Source organism: Homo sapiens, chromosome 22 (genome assembly GCF_000001405.40).
Source record: "Homo sapiens chromosome 22, GRCh38.p14 Primary Assembly".
Lineage (NCBI taxonomy): Eukaryota > Metazoa > Chordata > Mammalia > Primates > Hominidae > Homo > Homo sapiens.
Window position 1 is genome coordinate 22,102,736 of NC_000022.11, and position 19,315 is coordinate 22,122,050.

Consider the following 19,315-nt stretch of genomic DNA (forward strand, 5'->3'; position numbering starts at 1 on the left):
ATTATCATTCCATGTGCCCAATACTGTCAAAAGATGTATTTTTGCCATACCCTCCACATGCATTTCATATGTGTGATTTTTATTTTCAAATTCTATATCTCTTCTAGGAATATGGTGTGTTTTATTTGTCCTGCTGCAGGACTCCCCTCTCCACTCAGATTAAATTATTAAATTCCAGATAAAAAATTAACTTGGAATACTGTTGAATCAATAGTAGAAGTAACCAAAATAATAAAGATATTTCAAAATGAAGATTGATTTTTAAAAGTAAAAATGTCACATACTCCACCTAGAAGATAAGAGACTGTACTACAAATTCATTAGAACATCCCCTTCATGTCATGGGCCAGTCATGTCCCTGAACTTAACCTCTGTCTTCTCGGGTGATGTTACAGGCCAATGCAGCATCAGCTGCCCACACTCCTAGTGGTGGAATCTGGGAGCACAGGCAGGAGTCTGCGCCTGTGGCCTTGGCTGGGTGAAAGATGACATTTCCAAGACTTCTTGCTTGGCAGCCATCCTCACGTGCAGGTGGTCTGGCAGCAGCACTGCAAAACCCAGGCAAGGGATGCCCCACTGCAAGGCCCAGTGGTAACTGTGGTGGCCATTGGCATTGGGGGCAGATGCAGCCATGTGAGTTGGTGGGCTGTGGCAGCCACCCTAATGATGGTTTCCACCCCTCCCAGCTGGTGGTGGCTAAAACCACCCGGTAGGAGTTTCAAAAGCAGTGGCACCATTAAGCGGAGCTCCTGGAGGAGGACTGGAAGCAACTGCTTGCATTGAAGGAATGTAGCTATAGTGGAATTATTGAACCACATCATATTTGCAAAGATGCAGAATGTATTACAGATTACGAGATATGGAAGTTGAGGTTAATCTGGTAGAGAGCAGTGAATATGAGGAGGAAGCTCTCTATTGGGCGGGTGCTATCATAGCTGCAGAAGGTGATGGTGCAATGCTTCTGCCAGTGAGTAAAGTCTTGTACAAACTTAAACCAGTTACGGGGTAAAATCTGATCCAGGACTACCTGAGGGTCACTTATGTTGGCCTGTTCAATACACACATTTCTTTCCAGGAGCCTTACCAAAGGTCTATAGTAGTGAGTTCAGTATGGAGGCAGTAATCAGATCATATCTGGAAGGAACTGGCATAAACTCCAATCCTGTGGGACATCATGGACAGCAACTAAATTCGAATCAACAGAGTAGAGCCCTTGACATTGGACAAGTTCGTGGTGAAAGATCTGAGGCTTTAGGACTCCGACATTTGTGAATGACAGCACTAAATGAAGTCTTTACTGGTGAACGTCTATCCAGAATACCTTATGCTTGGGCTGTGGCAGTGGATAATTTAAGTAGACCCACTCTATTTATTTATTTATTTTGAGACGGAGTCTTGCTCTGTTGCCCAGGCTGGAGTGCAGTGGCGTGATCTAGGTTCACTGCAAGCTCCGCCTCCCAGGTTCACGCCATTCTCCTGCCTCAGCCTCCCAAGTAGGTGGGACTATAGGCACCCATCACCACACCTGGCTAATTTTTTGTATTTTTAGTAGAGACAGGGTTTCACCGTGTTAGCCAGGATGGTCTCGATCTCCTGACCTGGTGATCCATCCGCCTTGGTCTCCCAAAGTGCTGGGATTACAGGTGTGAGCCTCTGCGCCTGGCTAAGTAGACCCACTCTAAAAGACTGGTTTCTTACTGTGAGATTTCAGTTGGTAATGGTCCATGGGAAAAATGGAAGACTTCAGGGCTCAATTTGTGAACTGGAGCAAGATCAAAGGCAACAGGGTTGCAAGTCAGGCTGTGGAGCATGATTAAAATATTGCAAATGACAAGGACGTTGGAGTCTTGCATTCAACTGTAAAATGACAGAATAACAAATAAATATAATGAATCATTGTTCTAGAGTCCAAAAAGGGCCAAAAGTAATTTTCAGTATTCAAGAACTAAAAAGCAAGCAGTTTTCTCGAGCACCCATGAGCATTGTTTCTCCTGAGAGATTTGTCCTCGTTTTCATTGCTGGAACACCTGCATGGTTGTAGATGGAGGAATGTCTTTTGATGTTCCTATTTTTATATCAGACAAGCTTTAAAGCAACAACAGTTATAAAAGACAAAGAAGGAAATTTTATAATGATAAAAGGATCGGTCCAACAGAACAATATCACAATCCTAAATATATATGCACCTAATACTGGAGCTCCCAAATTTATAAAACAATTATTACTAGACCTAAGAAATGGGATAGATGGCACCACAATAATAGTAGGGGACTTCAATACTCCATGGACAGCACTAGACAGGACATCAAGGCAGAAAGTCAATAAAGAAAAAATTGACTTTAATTATATCCTAGAACAAATAGATTTAGCAGATATTTACCTAACATTCTACCCAACAACTTCAGAATATACCATATTTTAATCAGCACATAGAACGTTCTCCAAGATAAATCATAAGATAGGCCACAAAACAAGTCTCAACAAATTTAAGAAAATTGAAATTATGTCAAGTACCTTTTCAGACCACAATGGAATAAAACTGGAAATTAACTCCAAAAAGAACCCTTAAAACTATACAAATACATGAAAATTAAATAATCTGCTCCTGAATGACCTTTGGGTTAACAATGAAATCAAGAAGGAAATTTAAAAATTGCTTGAACTGAACAATAATAGTGACACAACCTATTAAAACCTCTGAGATACAGCAAAACTAAGAGGACAGTTCATAGCATTAAATAGTCTGAAACAGCATGAACAGACAATCTAAGGTGACACCTCAAGGAACTCAAGAAACAAGAACCAACCAAACTCAAACCCAGAAGAAAAGAAATAACAAAGATCAGAGCAGAACTAAATAAAATTGAAACAAAAAATACAAAAGATAAATGAAACAAAAACTGGTTATTTGAAGAGATAAACAAAATTGACAGACCGTTAGTGAGATTAACCAAGAAAAAAAGGGAGACGATCCAAATAAGCTCAATTAGAAATGAAATGGGAAATATTACAACCAATACCACAGAAATATGAAAGATATTCAAGGCTACTATGAACACCCTTATGCACACAGACTAGAAAATCTAGAAGAGATGGATAAATTCCTGGAAAATAAGTTATTATTTGAAAAAGACACTTGTATGGCCGGGCACGGTGGCTCATGCCTGTAATCCCAGCACTTTGGGAGGATAAGCGGGCGGATCATCTGAGGTTAGGAGTTCAAGACCAGCCTGGCCAACATGTTGAAACTCCATCTCTACTAAAAATACAAAATTAGCTGGACATGGTGGTGCATGCCTGTAATCCCCGCTACTCTGGAGGCTGAGGCAGGAGAATCGCTTGAACCCAGGAGGTGGAGGTTGCAGTGAGCCAAGATTGCACCATTGCACTCCAGCCTGGGCAACAAGAGCGAAATTCTGTCTCAAAAAAAAAAAAAAAAAAAAAAAGAAGAAAAGAAAAAGACACTTGCACACATGTTTATAGCAGTACAATTTGCAATTGCAAAAATATGCAAACAGTATAAATATACATCAACCAATGAGTGAATAAAGAAAACGTTATTTTTTTATTTTTAGACGGAATTTCGCTTTTGTTGCCCAGGCTGGAGTGCAATGGTATGATCTAGGTTTACCGCAACCTCTGCCTCCTGGGTTCAAGTGATTCTCTTGCCTCAGCCTCCCGAGTAGCTGGGATTACAGGCATGTACCACCACGTCCAGCTAATTTTGTATTTTTAGTAGAGACAGGGTTTCTCCATGTTGGTCAGGCTGGTCTCGAACTCCTGACCTCAGATGATCTGCCTACCTTGGCCTCCCAAAGTGCTGGGATTATGGGCATCAGCCACTGCACCCAGCCAAAAATGTGATTTTATATATATATATATAATATACACCATGAAATACTACTCAGACCTAAAAAGGAATAAAATAATGGAATTTGCAGCAACCTGGATGGAGTTGGCCTCGTTTACTACTCTGGGTTTCTGTCTGAGGATGAGGGTGATGATTGCTGATCAGGATGCGGAAGGAACCCAGTGCTAACCCACAGCATCTGCCCCACAGGGAAATAAGGCACAAGTCTCTTGTTTGATCCCACGCTATGACCTCTAGACCTACTCTTCCCTCTTGTCACCAAAACCACAATCAGGAAAAATTTCTGCAGGCATTTCCCCATCCTGGAACAAGGATCTGAGACTCTTCACTGAATTTGTGACCTTCTATCCAGCCAATATTTATACTGAGCTATTAAGATTAACATCTTAGCCTGGTCATTGCCACACAGGCAGGCAAGGCAGCTCAGGTGGAAAATACTTTTGGTCATCCCATGTGTCTGGGCATATGGCCTTGATGTGAGTTTATGTTCATGCTCAGGACAAGTTATGGGTCAGGGGACTAGTCAGCTTATGGGCCAGGAAAAGGTGCTAAGGTTTGTGGAGTCAAAGAGGGAATTCACACATATTAATGCTCCTTGTTTCCACCTAAGGCAGTTTGTGAAGTCTGTGGGTTCTGTGACTGTCCACAAATGGAGCAGGAACATTCCTTAGAACGGATGATTGGGACCCCACAAAGGAAAAGACAAGAGGAAGCACAGGCTACACAATGAAAATACACTTGGTCATGCCAAAGGCTAGGTCATGCCAAAGGCTAATGAAAGAGCTTTGAGTATAATTCAGTGCCTTTGGGGTTGAGTGGAAAATACAAAAACCATCTTTGCCCTGCTCTCACACCACAACAATCAACACGTTTCCATGACCAAATGTGTAGGATTTCTCCCCACCCCCTAGAAAGCAAGCCATTGGTTTTGCAGCGGACACCACACAGGTGCCCTCTCATTGAATGCAATTCTGACACTATCCACATGGAGACAGGGTCAGATCTTACAGTTTGAGGGCTATTTCCCCAAGACTGTGCCCCACTACTTACGCCAATCCCAAGCCTCAGATTGCTTTACCTGTGCTTCTGTCCAAATAGCTGTAAGTTGAAGATTTCACAACATCTCCTTGGCTTCTATTAATTTGCTAGAATGGCTCACAGAGCTCAGTAGACACTTACAGGTTTATTAAAAAGGATACAACCAAGCATATAGATGAAGACATGCATAGCACAAGGTATGGGAAGTGGTGCACCACCGTCCAGTAATCTTCATGTGTTCAGCCTTCCAGAAGTTCTCCCAGCCTAGCTCCATTTGGGTTATTTTATGGACGCTTCCTCACCGAGGCTTTATGGAGTAAACCACTGCCCATTGGTGAATAATCGGCAGCCCCTCTCCCCTCCACAGAGGTTGGGAGATGAGGCTGAAAGTCCCATCCCTCTAACCCTGCCTTGGTCTTTCTTGTGACCTGCCCCCATCCTGAAGTTACCTAGGGACTGTCAGCCAACAGTCATCTCATTAGCATACAAAAAGACTCTGGTGATTTTAAGTATTTTAGGAGTTGTATAACAAGAAATGGGGTCAAAGACCAAAACCATAATTTATAATAACACAGGGATGAAAAAGAAAGTAGAGGTTGATGATTTCAAGCCCACACTAGTCCTCATTATGACAGATGTGGATTTCCAACCCATAAGAGGCAGGAGGCTGAAGAGCTGAGACGAAACCTGTGAAAAGCAGGGACAGGGGACATTTCTCAATTTCTTGTTACTGAAGTGATAGAGCTCCACCAGGCCTCACTTGGATTGACAAACTAAATTAAAAGATACACTCTTTAAATAAAAAGCACTTCTGAGCATACATCCAAAAGAATGAAAATCAGGATATTGCAGAAATATTTGCACATTTTTATTCATGCAGCATTAATCACAATTTCAAAGACATGGAGACAGCATAAGGTCCACTAATCATTGAATGTTTACAGAAAATGTGGTGTATAGCTGCAATGGATGCTGTTCAAATTCAAGAAGAATTAGGCCGGGCACGGTGGCTCCCGCCTGTAATCCCGGCACTTTGGGAGGCCAAGGCGGGCGGATCACAAGGTCAGGAGTTCAAGACCAGCCTGACCAATATGGTGAAACCCCGCCCCTACTAAAAATACCAAAATTAACTGGGTGTGGTGGCAGAAGCCTGTAATTCTAGATACTCAGGAGGCTGAGGCAGGAGAATCTCTTGAATCCGGGAGGCAGAGGTTGCAGTGAGCTGAGATTGCGCCACTGCACTCCAGCCTGGGTGACAGAGTGAGACTCTGTCTCTCAAAAAAAAAAGAATAATTAAATTTTGCCATATGCAGCAACAGGGAAAACCCTGGAGGATATTACACTGAGTGAAATAAGCCAATCTTAGAAGGGGAAATGCTGCACGGCCTCATTTATATGAGGTATCTAATTTTTTTTTTTCGAGACAGAGTTTTGCTCTTGTCACCCAGGTTGGAGTGCAATGGCGCGATCTCAGCTCATTGCAACCTCCACCTCCCGGGTTCAAGCGATTCTCCTGCCTCAGCCTCCTGAGTAGCTGGTATTACAAGTGCCTGCCACCACACCTGGCTAATTTTTGTATTTTTAGTAGAGACACAGTTTCACCATGTTGGCCAAGCTGGTCTCGAACTCCTGACCTCAGGTGATCCGCCTGCCTCGACCTCCCAAAGTGCTGGGATTACAGGCATGAGCCACCACGTCCGGCCTATAGGAGGTGTCTAATATACTCAACCGAGCAGAAATGGAGTAGAATGCTGGTTGCCAGGGGTAGGGAGAGAAGGAAATGGGGAGTCACTGCTCAAGGGCTATGAAGCTTTAGGTTTGCAAAATGAACAAGTTCTAGAGATGTGCTGTACAACACTGTGCTTACAGCTGACAACACTGTATTATGTACTTAAAATTTTATTCAGAGGGTATATCACACATTAAACGTTCTTATTAACATGAAAAAGGGATAGAAAATACCATGAAACCACTTACAGAAAGCAAGTATGGCAATCCTCTGTCCTTTGTCTTGGGAGAAAGTTTTGGCCAAGAGACAATTTAGGCAAAAAAGAGAATTTACTGAAGAAAAACAGAGAGCAAATAGTTTATTTAGAGAGACAGTGTACTCTGGAAGATAAGGCAGAGCGGGCTGCTGATAGAGAATGAGCCAGCGGCCCGAGAAATGTGCACTGAGTTTTTATGATATTGCACTTTTTCTTGGAGTTCCCACCTCTGTTTTAAGTCTCCACCTTTTTTTCTTTCTCTAGTTTTTCTGCTTCAGCCTTAAGTCCCTGCCTTTTCCCCACATAGTTTCCAGCCCAGGCTGTGGGACCCTCCCTTAACACACACATGGGCCCAGTGTTTGATAGGAATTCTACCTAATGGCTGCATTGCTCATTACTGCCACCCCAGGAAGGTTGTATGGTGGTCAAATCTATACTTACTGTACCTGCATCTCTCTTAGAAATTTCTCCTTTGCTCTCACCCCTATTATCAGCATGCAGCTAGCTACATTCTGACAGGTTAACTTCAGAGTGAGTGAATACTGGGTGTCTTAAGGGGCTTTGTTCTGGCATAGGTATTTACCCTAATCTCTGTTCGTATCTAGCATGTGTGCTTTGGGTGGTCTCTGGGGTGTGAGATTTTCCAGAACTCCCTTTTCTCAGGGGCTGCCCCTCCTGCTTCTGTCTAGCTATCTGCCTACTCTAAAGTTAGTATTAGTATGAAAGCTTTTATGAAAAACATTTTTTTCCAAGAAAAGGGAGGCATTTTATACTGGTGAAATAAGGTGTTCAATGACAACACATAACAACTGTAAATTGTATGCACCTAATAAAATAGCTTTAAAGTATTTGAAGCAAAACTGTCTCTTTTAGCAGAATTAAAAAGAGAAATAATCAATCCATAATCATATACACAGATATTAATACAACTCTCTTATTAACTGAGTGAATGACATGGAGAAAAAAGAGTATACATACAAATACGTGAAAACCATGATTAACAAAATCAATCCAGTGACACCAGGAACCCAAGCCTGAAGGGTAGTTGCTTGAGTATGCATTCATGGATGAACGCATCCAATGAATCATCACAGGAACAAACAATTGAGGCCTTCGTTTATGTATTTCTAACTGATGTTAAGTTTTTCCTTCCTATTCTGTGAGTAGAGGTGGATCCCTGTGGAAGGAGCTGCCCGGGTCTTTGCTCCAGAAGCTGTCTGCATTCTCCCCTCACTGTAGCCTCGTCACATTAGGCCATTGTTATATTTCCCATATGTCCTTCTTCTAGTAATCCAGGAGCCCTCAATGAAAAGGCTGTTTATTAATACCAGTAGCTCAGGACAGAGCAGGGGCATGGCTCATGGATGGTTTGGACCAGGCCCTTAGATGACTGCACTCACATGATTCCCACTGAGACTGCAGTCTGGCCAGTGAGCAGCAGGGGCACTGTGGGTCTGTCTCACGGTCTGCACAGTGGCTATTCATAGCTGTGCCAACCCCTAAACTCCCCAGGGCTGGGCAGTGGAGCCTGCACTCACTGAAGCCGACTCAGCTGCTGCATCTTCTCTGGGTGTGGTTCCAGCACCCACTTCCTCCCAGGTCCTGCCAGACTCTCTCATCCACCAGTCCCCAGGTCTTGAATAAATGCATAGAGTGGGGTGGGGGCAGGCAGTGGGTGGGACACATTTGCATCCATAACCCTTCCTCTGTGAGGCCAGTGGAGGGGATAAGAGAGGCCTAGGGCAGCCACTCCAGCTCTGGACCTCGGGAGGGCTGTGTCCACCATGGCCGGGGCCCCTGCTCCTCCCTGCTGCTCCCCTCTCACTTATCAGGTAGGGACAGGCCTCAGATTCCTGGGAAAGCCTCCCAGTCTGAGTTCTTGCCCCGTGTTCCACTCTCACATTTCATCCCTGCTTACTCACCCATGAGCATTTGTGTTTGCAGGTTCCCCCCACCTCGGCCTGTTCTGACTCAGCCACCCTCCCTCTCTGCATCTCTGGGAAATTCTGAGGCTCACATTTACCCTGAGCTGTGGCTTCACTGCTGGTGGCTAGCACATATCCTGCTACCAGTAGCATCTAGGGAGTGCTCTCTAGTATCTCCTGAGAGATGATATATCTCCAGTGGGATAGATATCTCAAGAGTGGGCTCCTGATAAAAGGATAAAGTTCAACCCTATTTACTCATTTTCACACTCTTCTTTGCCCTTTTTCCCTGAGATAATGCAGCAGAAAGACCCTTGCCAGATTTCAGCATCTGCTTGTGGACTTCTAAGGTCACAGAAATCTCAACCAAATAAACTTTTAGTCTCAGTAAGTTACCCAATATATGGTATTCTATTGTATCAGAAGAAAATGGAGAAAATGGACTAGGACAGCACGTGTAGAACAGTCTGCTAATCTGACTCAAGTAAGCACCATGGCTCCAGGGTCCCCGGTCACTTTTCTAAATCTAAAGATGCCTCAGCCAATGCAGTAATTCTGCACATCTCTGGGCTGCAGCCAGAGGATGAGGCTACTACATATCTCAGCAGCCATGGCACTTCCACAGTGCTCCAGAACCCCAGGGAAGTGAGACTAGGACCTCCCCTGTGTTCTCTCTGCCTGGTGCAATCACCACTGTCCTGCCTGGGACCAACTCTGGCTCAGGGATTGATTCCTGTTGTTACTTTTTCAGCCAGTGTCTAATTTTCCTAGGATATATAGATGTAAAATGTGTTTTTTTCTTAAAATGTTAATTTGATATATTTTTCATATCTTTTCCCCTTATGATGCCTACAGTGGAGTAGGTCAGTTCTTAGAGCTAAGTTTCCCTCCAGGAAGATTACAGAAGAGGAAGGAGATGAATAACCTACACGTGCTGTCCTAGTCCATTTCCCCCATTTTCTTCTGATATAATAGAATATCATATGTTGGGTAACTTACTGAGACTAAAAGTTTATTTGGTTGAGATTTCCGTGGCCTTAGAAGTCCACAAGCAGATGCTGAAATTTGGCAAGGGTCTTTCTGCTGCATTATCTCAGGGAAAAAGGGCAAAGAAGAGTGTGAAAATGAGTAAATAGGGTTGAACTTTATCCTTTTATCAGGAGCCCACTCTTGAGATATCTATCCCATTGCCAGGATAAGGGCACTAATCCATTCATGATGGTGGAACCCTCATGACCTAATCACCTCTTAAAGGTCCTGCCTCCAATTACTTTTACCATGATAATTAAATTCTACCATGAGTTTTGGAGGGGATATTCAAACCATACACATGTCCAAACTAGGGCCTAGACCTGACTTAGAGATGTGTGTGGTCTGAGAACTTCTGATCAGCTGGTTGGTCCAGCATGCCCCAACCCCAGCTCCACTGACCAGCTCCAGGAGTGAGTGAGGTCACCTTCCTCACAACTGCTCATTCCAGCCTGTCTCTGAACTGTTCACTCCTCTTGAGGTTCAGAGGATGCAGGTCTTTGTGGTTCCAGGGATGTTGGGCAAACAGTCTTTTCCACAGTGGAATATGACTGTGCTTGTGACTTCGCAGTGTGCAGAGGACACTCAGCACCTGCCTCTCCCCACCGACTTTGTCAGGCCCATGATTATCACCCTCTCCTTCATCCCAAGTTCATCTGATACGCATGCCAAGATTTCAGTGAGGCTGGGGACACATAAGGATGATGATACTAAAATGAACAAGTTCCATTTCATAATAGTGGCAGAAGATCAGAGATCTGTAGGGGAGTTGTGCCCCCACTCTGAGTATTTAGGAAGCAACTCTAGGGACATCTTGCTCTGCTTCTCCCTTCTCTGCACAGGTGAAAGAAGGAGCCTGTGCAGACAATCGTTCATTAGAAGCTCCTGCCTTCTTCCTCTTTTCCACCCCCCAGGACTGGATGGGGCCTTTGTAATGGCTTCAAATTATAGTGAGAGTCAAACAAGACAATTGGTCAATGACTCCAACATCCCTCTCAGGGCTGCCTGACATGAGACAGGATGGATTGCATCTGATACACCCCCACCCTTCTTTCTTATCGGTATATTAGGTTTTTCTTATTGATGTGAACACACTCTACATTATACAAAATAAGTTATATTTATATTTCAAACCTGTGATGGTGATTTTTAAATTATAGTAAAAATATACATATAAAATTTACCATCTTAATCATTTTAGGTGTACAGATCATAAGTATTAACTATATTCACATTGCTGTGCAACAGATCTGCAGAAATTATCCATCTTGCAAAACTGTAGCTATTGAATAACAGCTCCCCATTTTCCTGCCTCTTGTGGTGGTTTTAAATACAATGCAATACATACTAGCTGAAAATGGAAAAAAGAAGTATATGAAAATGTTAAATGCATAGCACAAAAAATGAATAATAGGGTCACTTTGGTTATAACTTTAAATGAGAAAACTCAAAGTAAAACAACAATCTATGATATATCATATAAAATGCACAATTTAAAATTTTTAAAATTTAATATTAACAAAAATATATGTAATACACCACATAAGTATTCAATAAAACTAAATACAATTATGTTTAATTTTTTTAAACTGTGAAAAAGATCCTATTAACTTTTGAATATTTACGCAAGGAAACCAAGTACATCTCTTCTTGAAAAAGTTTGATTCCAATTGTTTTTTTTCTTTTTTGAGACAGAGTCTTGCTCTATCACCCAGGCTGGAGTACAGTGGCGCTATCTCGGCTCACTGCAAGCTCCGCCTCCCGGGTTCACGCCATTCTCCTGCCTCAGCCTCCCGAGTAGCTGGGACCATAGGCGCCCGCCACCGTGCCCAGCTAATTTTCTTTTGTATTTTTAGTAGAGACGGGGTTTCACCGTGGTCTTGATCTCTTGACCTCGTGATCTGCCCGCCTCGGCCTCCCAAAGTGCCAGGATTACAGGCGTGAGCCACCACGCCCAGCCAGTTTGATTCCAATTTTAACAGACAGGTGTTTTTGACAACCAGTTTATTTTCTTACTGAAATTTTCTTTTTCTTTTTTTTAAAAATTTTAAATCTTTAATTTCCGTTTTCACTTATTTTCTTCTTGCTTCCAAAAGGAAAGGAGTGCGTAGCTCTGTTGCCTGTACATCGTCCACAGCCCCCGGCTCGGGGCAGGGTCCCCTAGGCCGCCCGGGGGTCCACATGCAGCCCCTGGGGGGCCGGCGCGGGGTGAGGTCCGGGGACCGCCTTATTGCTGAGGTCTGGCCGGTTGGGGCCGCCGCTAGGCGCGCTGGCTGGGCAGCTCCTGGGAGATGAAGCGACGCAGGCGCTCCAGGTACTGGCTGTAGAGCTCGATGTCGTTGTGCCCGGCGCCCTCCACCCACAGCGGCTCCACCGCCTTGGGGCAGCGCTCGTAGAGCGCCAGCCCGTGTGAGAAGTCGATCACCTCGTCCTCCATGCCGTGGATGATGAGCACGGGCGACGTGATCTTGGACACCTTCTCGATGTTAGGGAAGGCGTCGAAGCAGTAGGTCTTGGTGTCGGGGAAGGCGACGGGCATGCCCGAGGTGAGCGGCAGTGCAGCACCACCGCGGCACACTCGTAGCGCGAGGCCAGGTCCACGGTGGGCACCGTGCCGATGCTCTGCCCGTACAGGATGATGCTGTCCGGGCTGATGCCGTACCTGGCGGCGCCCGAGCAGGGTCAGCCGCTGCCTCCGACGCGCGCGCACCCTTCCCACCAGCGGGCGTCCCCGGGCCCAGCTCCGGATGCGACCCTCTAGTCTCCCCACTCAGCCAAGTCAGTGGGTCAGGCCCAGGCTCCACACCAGTCCCGAGGGCCACCCCCAGCCCCCCAACACCACGGCGGTGGGCGAAGCCAGCGGCCCCGCCCCGTTCCCTGGCGCTGCCGTTCACTGGCGTTTCCTAGCAAGGATCTGCAGGGATCCCGCCTACGGAGTGCCCCTGGGGCGGGGGTAGGGGAGGCCCTGGCGCCTCTTCTCCTCCTGGTCACCCCTAGGTGCACACTGGGAACTGTGTGCCCCCCACATCCTGAATGCGTCACGCCTTCCTGCCCGGGTTAGAAAGCCGTTCCTGGTGCACTGGCCAGGACAGCGGACACTCTTCCTTCCTGCAGCCCTTGCCCACCCCCTTGGCCATGAGGAATTCAGGCAGCTGTGTCCCCAAATGTCTCCACCCAATTTTGGACTCTCGGAGTCCCCACGCCCAATGAGATGCCAGTGCAACCCAGGTCAGCATCGAAGGTGGTGGCTGCGGAGGTGGCACCCCCTCCCACCAGCACCTTCCCTTGGGAGTGGACAAGTCCTTGGCCACCTCAGCACCACCAGCTCCCACCCAGGGGCACCCTCACCCCCAGGTCACTGGTGTGCGGCCCTTGACCCAGCTGATCCAGCACCAGTTACAAGGCCTCCTCGTGCCCAGTCCCAACCACGCGGGACCCACCTGCTACCCTGCCCATGCCGGGACCCCACAACTCTCCTCCCACACGCTCTAGGCTCTGATCCCAGGTAGATGCCCTCTTGCAAGGCAGGAGCATGGGCAGGTGTGCGTCCCCTCTGCCTGGCATTCGGACTCCACCAGCGGGCTGTCCCCGTCCCTGGCCTGGAATCCCAGCCTCCTGGCAGCACTCCACAGCTCGCCACTCACCCATGCCCCAAAGGATGCTGCCTGGCTGGTGCCTGTGGCCCCAGCTCTGCCTCGGCCTCCCTGGCCTGCTCCCTGGCAGCCATGGTCAGTAGTGTGCTGAGCCAGCCCAGCCCTGTCACCTGCTACAGGCAGGAGCCCCCAGCTGCCACCTGGATGTCACCACTCAAACGAACGGGACACATCCCCAGTGGAGGCCCTGGGCACGCTCTGGCCTCCCCCTCACAGCTCTGGGCCTAGGTTCCTGCAGGACAAAGTGGCAGCAGGACAGATGGCCGAGCAGACGAGCTCAGAGCTGGCCATGGCGGGTGTGACTCTGCCAGTGGCCCAGGCAGTAGAGACAGGAGGGGCCGAGGAAGTCGCATGAAGTGGTACTTGGTGTCAGCGCCCCACACTGCTGGGAGGCCCCCAGAGCCAGGGTGGTGCCAGGGGACCAGCTCCCAGGCCCACAGCAGGGACAGCCTGCAATATCACCAAGGCAACGAGGACCCCACCTCCCCAGGGCCTCTGACTTCTCAGAGTTGTGCCTGGTCCCCTGCAGGAGCAGGTCAGACCAGTGGGCTGGGCAGGGCCAGGACGAGACAGCCCCAGTGGATGGCGAGCAGGAAAGGCCACCAGAGGCCCACCCGGGTCTCCTCGTCCAAAGCAGCACTGGCCCGGGCGGTGCTCAAACACCGGTGAAGGGCCCAGGCAAGCGCAGGGCTGGGGACCTGGATGACTAGGAGGGCTGGATCTGGAATCGAGGCTGGCCCAGACCTCGGGTGTGTGCTGGGGGTCTGCACCCTACCCTGCAGGCCCTGCCCCAGGATGGCCAAGCTCCGCAGCCACAGGGCCTCGTGGGCCAGGCCTCGGGACCTGGATGCAGCAGCCTCGCCTCACTTGGCCCCAAGTGCTGCCTCGGCAGATGGGCTCCCAGCCACACGTGCACAGACCCCCAGACCACCACCCACTCCCTCCCACCGGGTGGCATCCACGCCCCTGTGACAAGCTCAGCCCCTTCCCGTCCTCAGGCCAGGGGTTCCAGGGAGCCTGGCTCCACAGGCCAGGGTGTGGGAGGACCGCCTGGCCACACCTCAGCCATGTGGAGGTGGCACCTGCACACCCCAGCTCGCCTGTCCGGCTCTCTGGCCCTGTGCATCCACTGTGGCTCCCCTCCTGCAGGGCCGCCCAACTTCCTCCCAGGGAAGCCCGCCCCCCGGCCCCCGGCTTGGTCCCCTCTTGGGTGTGCCCAGGCTGAGCTGCCCCCAGGGTCGCCCTCACCTGGTGCGCAGGGCCTGCCAGGCGGCGTCGATGTCGGCATAGAGGTTCCTCTCGGAAGGCCTGCCCGCGCTGGCACCGTAGCCGGAGTAGTCGTAGAAGATGTTGCAGTGGAGGCGGGAGCCCAGGCCAATGTAGAAGCTGCTCATCTGGCCCAGGTCCACGGCGTTGCCGTGCGAGAAGAGGACCGTGTACCTGGCACCAGGCACGCAGCGAACATACATACAGGAGACGCGGTTGCCGCGGGCGCTCTTGGTGGGGAAGACCTCGATGGTGTCCAGCTCGCGCTGGCTGTACTGGAAGTCGGCGCGCTCCGCCAGGTGCAGCTTCCAGCGCCCGGGTGCGCCCGAGGAGGCCCGCAGGGTCCCCGAGGGGGCGGCCCCGGCCCCACCAGGCCCCGGCTCGGGCTCAGGCACCAGGGAGTAGGTGGCCTCCGGCGGCAGGAAGGCGAGCTTGGCAGCGATGCGGCCGGGGCAGGGCGGGCAGCAAAGGCAGCAGAGCTCACTCAGCGACAGCCCATTCATGGCGGGCGCCGCCCGGGCCGGGCCTCCACCGGGGCCCCCGCCAACAACGCCGCCTGGCCTGGCCCGGCAGGGGAAGCGTGGGGGTGCTCCGAGTCGCGGGCAGGGGGGAGAGCGCCCCCCCAGCTACCGCCCCAGACGGCAGCCCCGTTAGGAGGCCAGGGCCCACCCCCATCGCGGTCCAAGCCGAGCCCCAGGGAGCCTCGCAACCACAGGTCTCCATGTCGTGCCCTGGGAAGCCCATCCCGGCCCGCGCCCCCGGGCCCCAGGGCCGCGCTCCATGGCTCCCGGCCGCCCGCCCGTGCATCCGTCGGTCCCTCTGCGCCCCGGCCCGGCCTCCTGCACCGCCACCGCCGCAGCTCCCCCACGGACGGAAGTGAGTTTACTGAAATTTTCAAGCCACAGAAAGAACAAAAGAAGTAATATCCATTATATTGTCCAAAACAATAGTACCTGGAAGATCTGGAGGCAAAAATGAAGCCTGAGAATAGCAGGACATAGACATATTTCATAACATAGACTCACAGCAGAATAATGGTTATGTTGGTTCATTAGGGAAGAAAACACTAAACAGCTCTTGCAAATACACTCAATATACAGTAAGATAGCTTGTGATTTTAACGAGTTAGCAAAGCAGAACAATGAGGCAAAAGCAAACAGAAACACTAAAAGAAATCCATTCTCTAGAATCATTTTTAAAGACTTTGCTAGATTTACCAAATAATTCAGTATTGACTTATTCTGTCTCCATTTTATTTCATAATGGAACCCGTCTAATTTTATGCTAAATGTATGCTGTAAGGACACCTTGCTACTCTGAAAAAATAAGGGATCAGTGGATAAAAGACCATATTTTATTAAAAAAAGAGTGTGTTTTGATGCATGATTTTGTGACTCTACATTTTTAAGTAAGGATGAAGAACTTGGTGATTAATTAAATGATTCCTCAGTTGCTCATCAATGCCATCAGATGCCTTGAATATACTGTGAGGACAGCATCTGGAAGAAATGGAGGAGATCTGAGTAATAATTCAGATGGAGCCAATTTCCACAATCTTATTTTCCCATTACCTGCAGCTCTGAATTTAACTAAGTCTCTGTGTTAACAACTTGTATTGTTTATCTGGGTGAATGACCTCAGAAGACACCAGGCAGCTGGATGCCTGCACTTCTTTCGTGCTAATGGTTCATATAGTCTCCTCACCCCCAACACTTTGATACTTCCTTGAAACTGGATTACATATGAGATAGAAACAAAGAATGCAGGTGCCATAATGACTCTCAGGAGTCACTGAATCTGTGTTCATGATGCATTACTGTGCCAGCTGCCTCCCTCTTCTTGTGAAGGCCCTTCTTTATTCCTTGAGATGTGCTCATCATGAAATAGCTACAAGCATATCATCTGCTTGCCTTGCCCGTTATAGCAACCATGAAAATAAATTTGCAGCATCATATATAGCCCAAATATTCTCGAAAGATGATCCTAATAGCTCTAATAACAAAATAAGTTTTCTACAGAGTAGCTATATGTACCTGCTCTCAGCTTATGTAAACTTGTGTTTTTATTGCTCTTAAAGCAAAATTTTTCCTAAAATTGAGAAAAGAACTAAAGTTCTTTGTCATTATATGAAGAAAGATACAGCATCTAATATTGTGAACTTCTCTATTTTGAGATGTTTTCAGACATCAAGACTGGATAATAGGCTGGGCACGGTGGCTCACGCCTGTAATCCCAGCACTTTGGGAGGCCGAGGCAGGCGGATCACGACGTCAGGAGATTGAGACCATCCTGGTTAACATGGTGAAACCCCGTCTCTACTAAAAATACAAAAAAATTAGCCGGGTGTAGTGGTGGGTGCCTGTAGTCCCAGCTACTTGGGAGGCTGAGGCAGGAAAATGGCGTCAACTCGGGAGGCGGAGGTTGCAGTGAGCCGAGATCACGCCACTGCTCTCCAGCCTGGGCGACAGAGCAAGACTCCGTCTCAAAAAAAAAAAAAAAAGACTGGATAATAAAATTATTTAACAATTCGGAACATAAATTTAGAATTGAAAAAAGCTTTATACTATACTATACTATACTATACTATACTATACTATACTATACTATACTATACTACTAACACATTTTGTTTGAGCATGGTTGCCTTATAAGTTTTTGGTAGTTCAATGAAAATAATGGCTACTTGTGAGAAAACTGAAATAGACTAGGACATAGTAGATAGAGATAGAAAGAACAGGTAAATTAACTGTCTATGCCACATGGCAAAGAAAGTTTACAGTACGTAGTCATTAAACGTACATGCTTATAAATATATAACCAATGATGAATAATTTTAAATGCAATTTAGCAGAATTCAGACCGTTTTATATTAAACATATATTTCTGAATGAAATATAAAATCTATTGAATGAGGGAGACACTTTATATGTGTAATTAATCTCATAAATAGAGAAGACTTTTACAATAGTTTGTACACTTTAGCTATAAACTGTAATTCAAGAGATTCAGTAAGAGTAGCTTTTTGTAACTTAAATATTCTATATTTTCCTTGCATACATTTTTGCCTTTGATCATGTATTTTATTTAGCCTGCTAAGATGGTAGAGAAGGTACAGACAGTAAGCTTTTCAACCTGACACATAAATTCAGGTTATTTGAAAATGGAATGGTAAAGTGTTACTGAAGAACTTTTACTATGGTTCGCATTTGGTAATATTTCCTAATTATTCTATAAACAAAATCCAAAAAAACCTTGATTTCATAACATAAACTTCTGAGGTCTAAATTAATCAATAAAATAAATTTGTTTTAATTAATTATATTTTATTTTGATGCTAATTTCATAATAGATTAAATACTAGCTGAGGCTCATTAGAGGTAAACTAGAGAATTATCATCCCATTAAGATAAATTTTGATTCAGGGAAGTAACATCTTGGAAGTTTACTAAATTTAAATTTAGGAGGAATTTACTAAATCAAGTACCAAGATTTTATTTCTGCACCAAATGGAAGACATATGTAAAATTTAAATACATTCCATTACTTAATTTACTCTTTACTATCATGAGAATTAGTATAGACAGCATATTTTACACAGAGCATACAAAGCCTTATCTTCATTGAATTACAAGTAAAATATATGTATGTACATATAATTATATATGTAATTTAGATATTAAATGACAGAATTTACTTATTTACCTGTGTGTGATGGAATTTGATTCTAGTAATTATTCCAGGTACAGTAACTGGTTGAAAATGGGACATGAAGTAAACTGATATGCTTACAAGTAATTACAGCAAGCGAATTCATTGTAATGTCTCCAAGCAAAGCAAGACTACCCACATGAGATAAGAAATGAGAGGCTACTTATTTTGACCAAGTTAGCTCGGTGACTTGGGGACCAAGGACTACATGCACATGGATGCTTCTTTTGTACCCCTACCCCTGCCAAAAAATATGTTTCCATGGCAATATTTGGGAACCCATTATTTCCCAATTGATGCTTTTACTTTCATATAAGACAACAGTTGATACTCCAAAATCAACTTACATTTTAATTAACCAAATACAATGTTCCTAAAGACAAAGAGAAACATTTCATAACAATAAGAGTTAAGCCAACAGAAAGATAGGGAGTATGAAAAAACAGAGAAAATCAATAAACCAAAATTAAATGCTTGAAAAGACAACACAATTGGCAAATGTTTATTTAGGCTAAGCAAGAAAAAAGCAGAAGAGACTCAAGTTTCTAAAATCAGCAATAAAAGAGAATCCATCACTGCTAGTAATACAAAATAAAAATAAAAGACAATGCAATGAAAATCTTATGCTAAAAAAATTAGATAGCCTAGATAGAATGAAGTCCTAGAAAGACACAAACTAAAACAGACTAAAGGACTAAGGAGCAATAGAAAATCTAAATAGACCTACAAAAGGTAAAAAGATTGGATTGTAATTTTAAGAACTTATAATAAAATTCCCATCTCAGGTAGCTATCACTCTGAGAAATTAATATCAATTGTTCACCAACTCTTGCAGAAAAT

The 19,315-nt window shown here is 46.2% G+C and overlaps 2 pseudogenes and 1 further gene, besides 2 other annotated features; 2 read left to right on the forward strand and 1 right to left on the reverse strand.

Moving 5' to 3' along the window:
- Positions 1-19,315, forward strand: part of IGL (immunoglobulin lambda locus) — an 896,838-nt gene that overhangs the window by 76,660 nt on the left and 800,863 nt on the right.
- On the forward strand, positions 774-2,060 carry LOC100736408 (NAD kinase 2, mitochondrial pseudogene; annotated as a pseudogene).
- Positions 8,528-8,607: an enhancer, noted in NCBI's record as "active region_18720". NCBI's record gives its function as "activates an Ori minimal core promoter by ATAC-STARR-seq in GM12878 lymphoblastoid cells {active_cell/tissue: GM12878}" and the evidence as "EXISTENCE:reporter gene assay evidence [ECO:0000049][PMID:35858748]".
- Positions 8,928-8,997: a silencer, noted in NCBI's record as "silent region_13522". NCBI's record gives its function as "represses an Ori minimal core promoter by ATAC-STARR-seq in GM12878 lymphoblastoid cells {active_cell/tissue: GM12878}" and the evidence as "EXISTENCE:reporter gene assay evidence [ECO:0000049][PMID:35858748]".
- Positions 14,746-15,270, reverse strand: ABHD17AP5 (ABHD17A pseudogene 5; annotated as a pseudogene).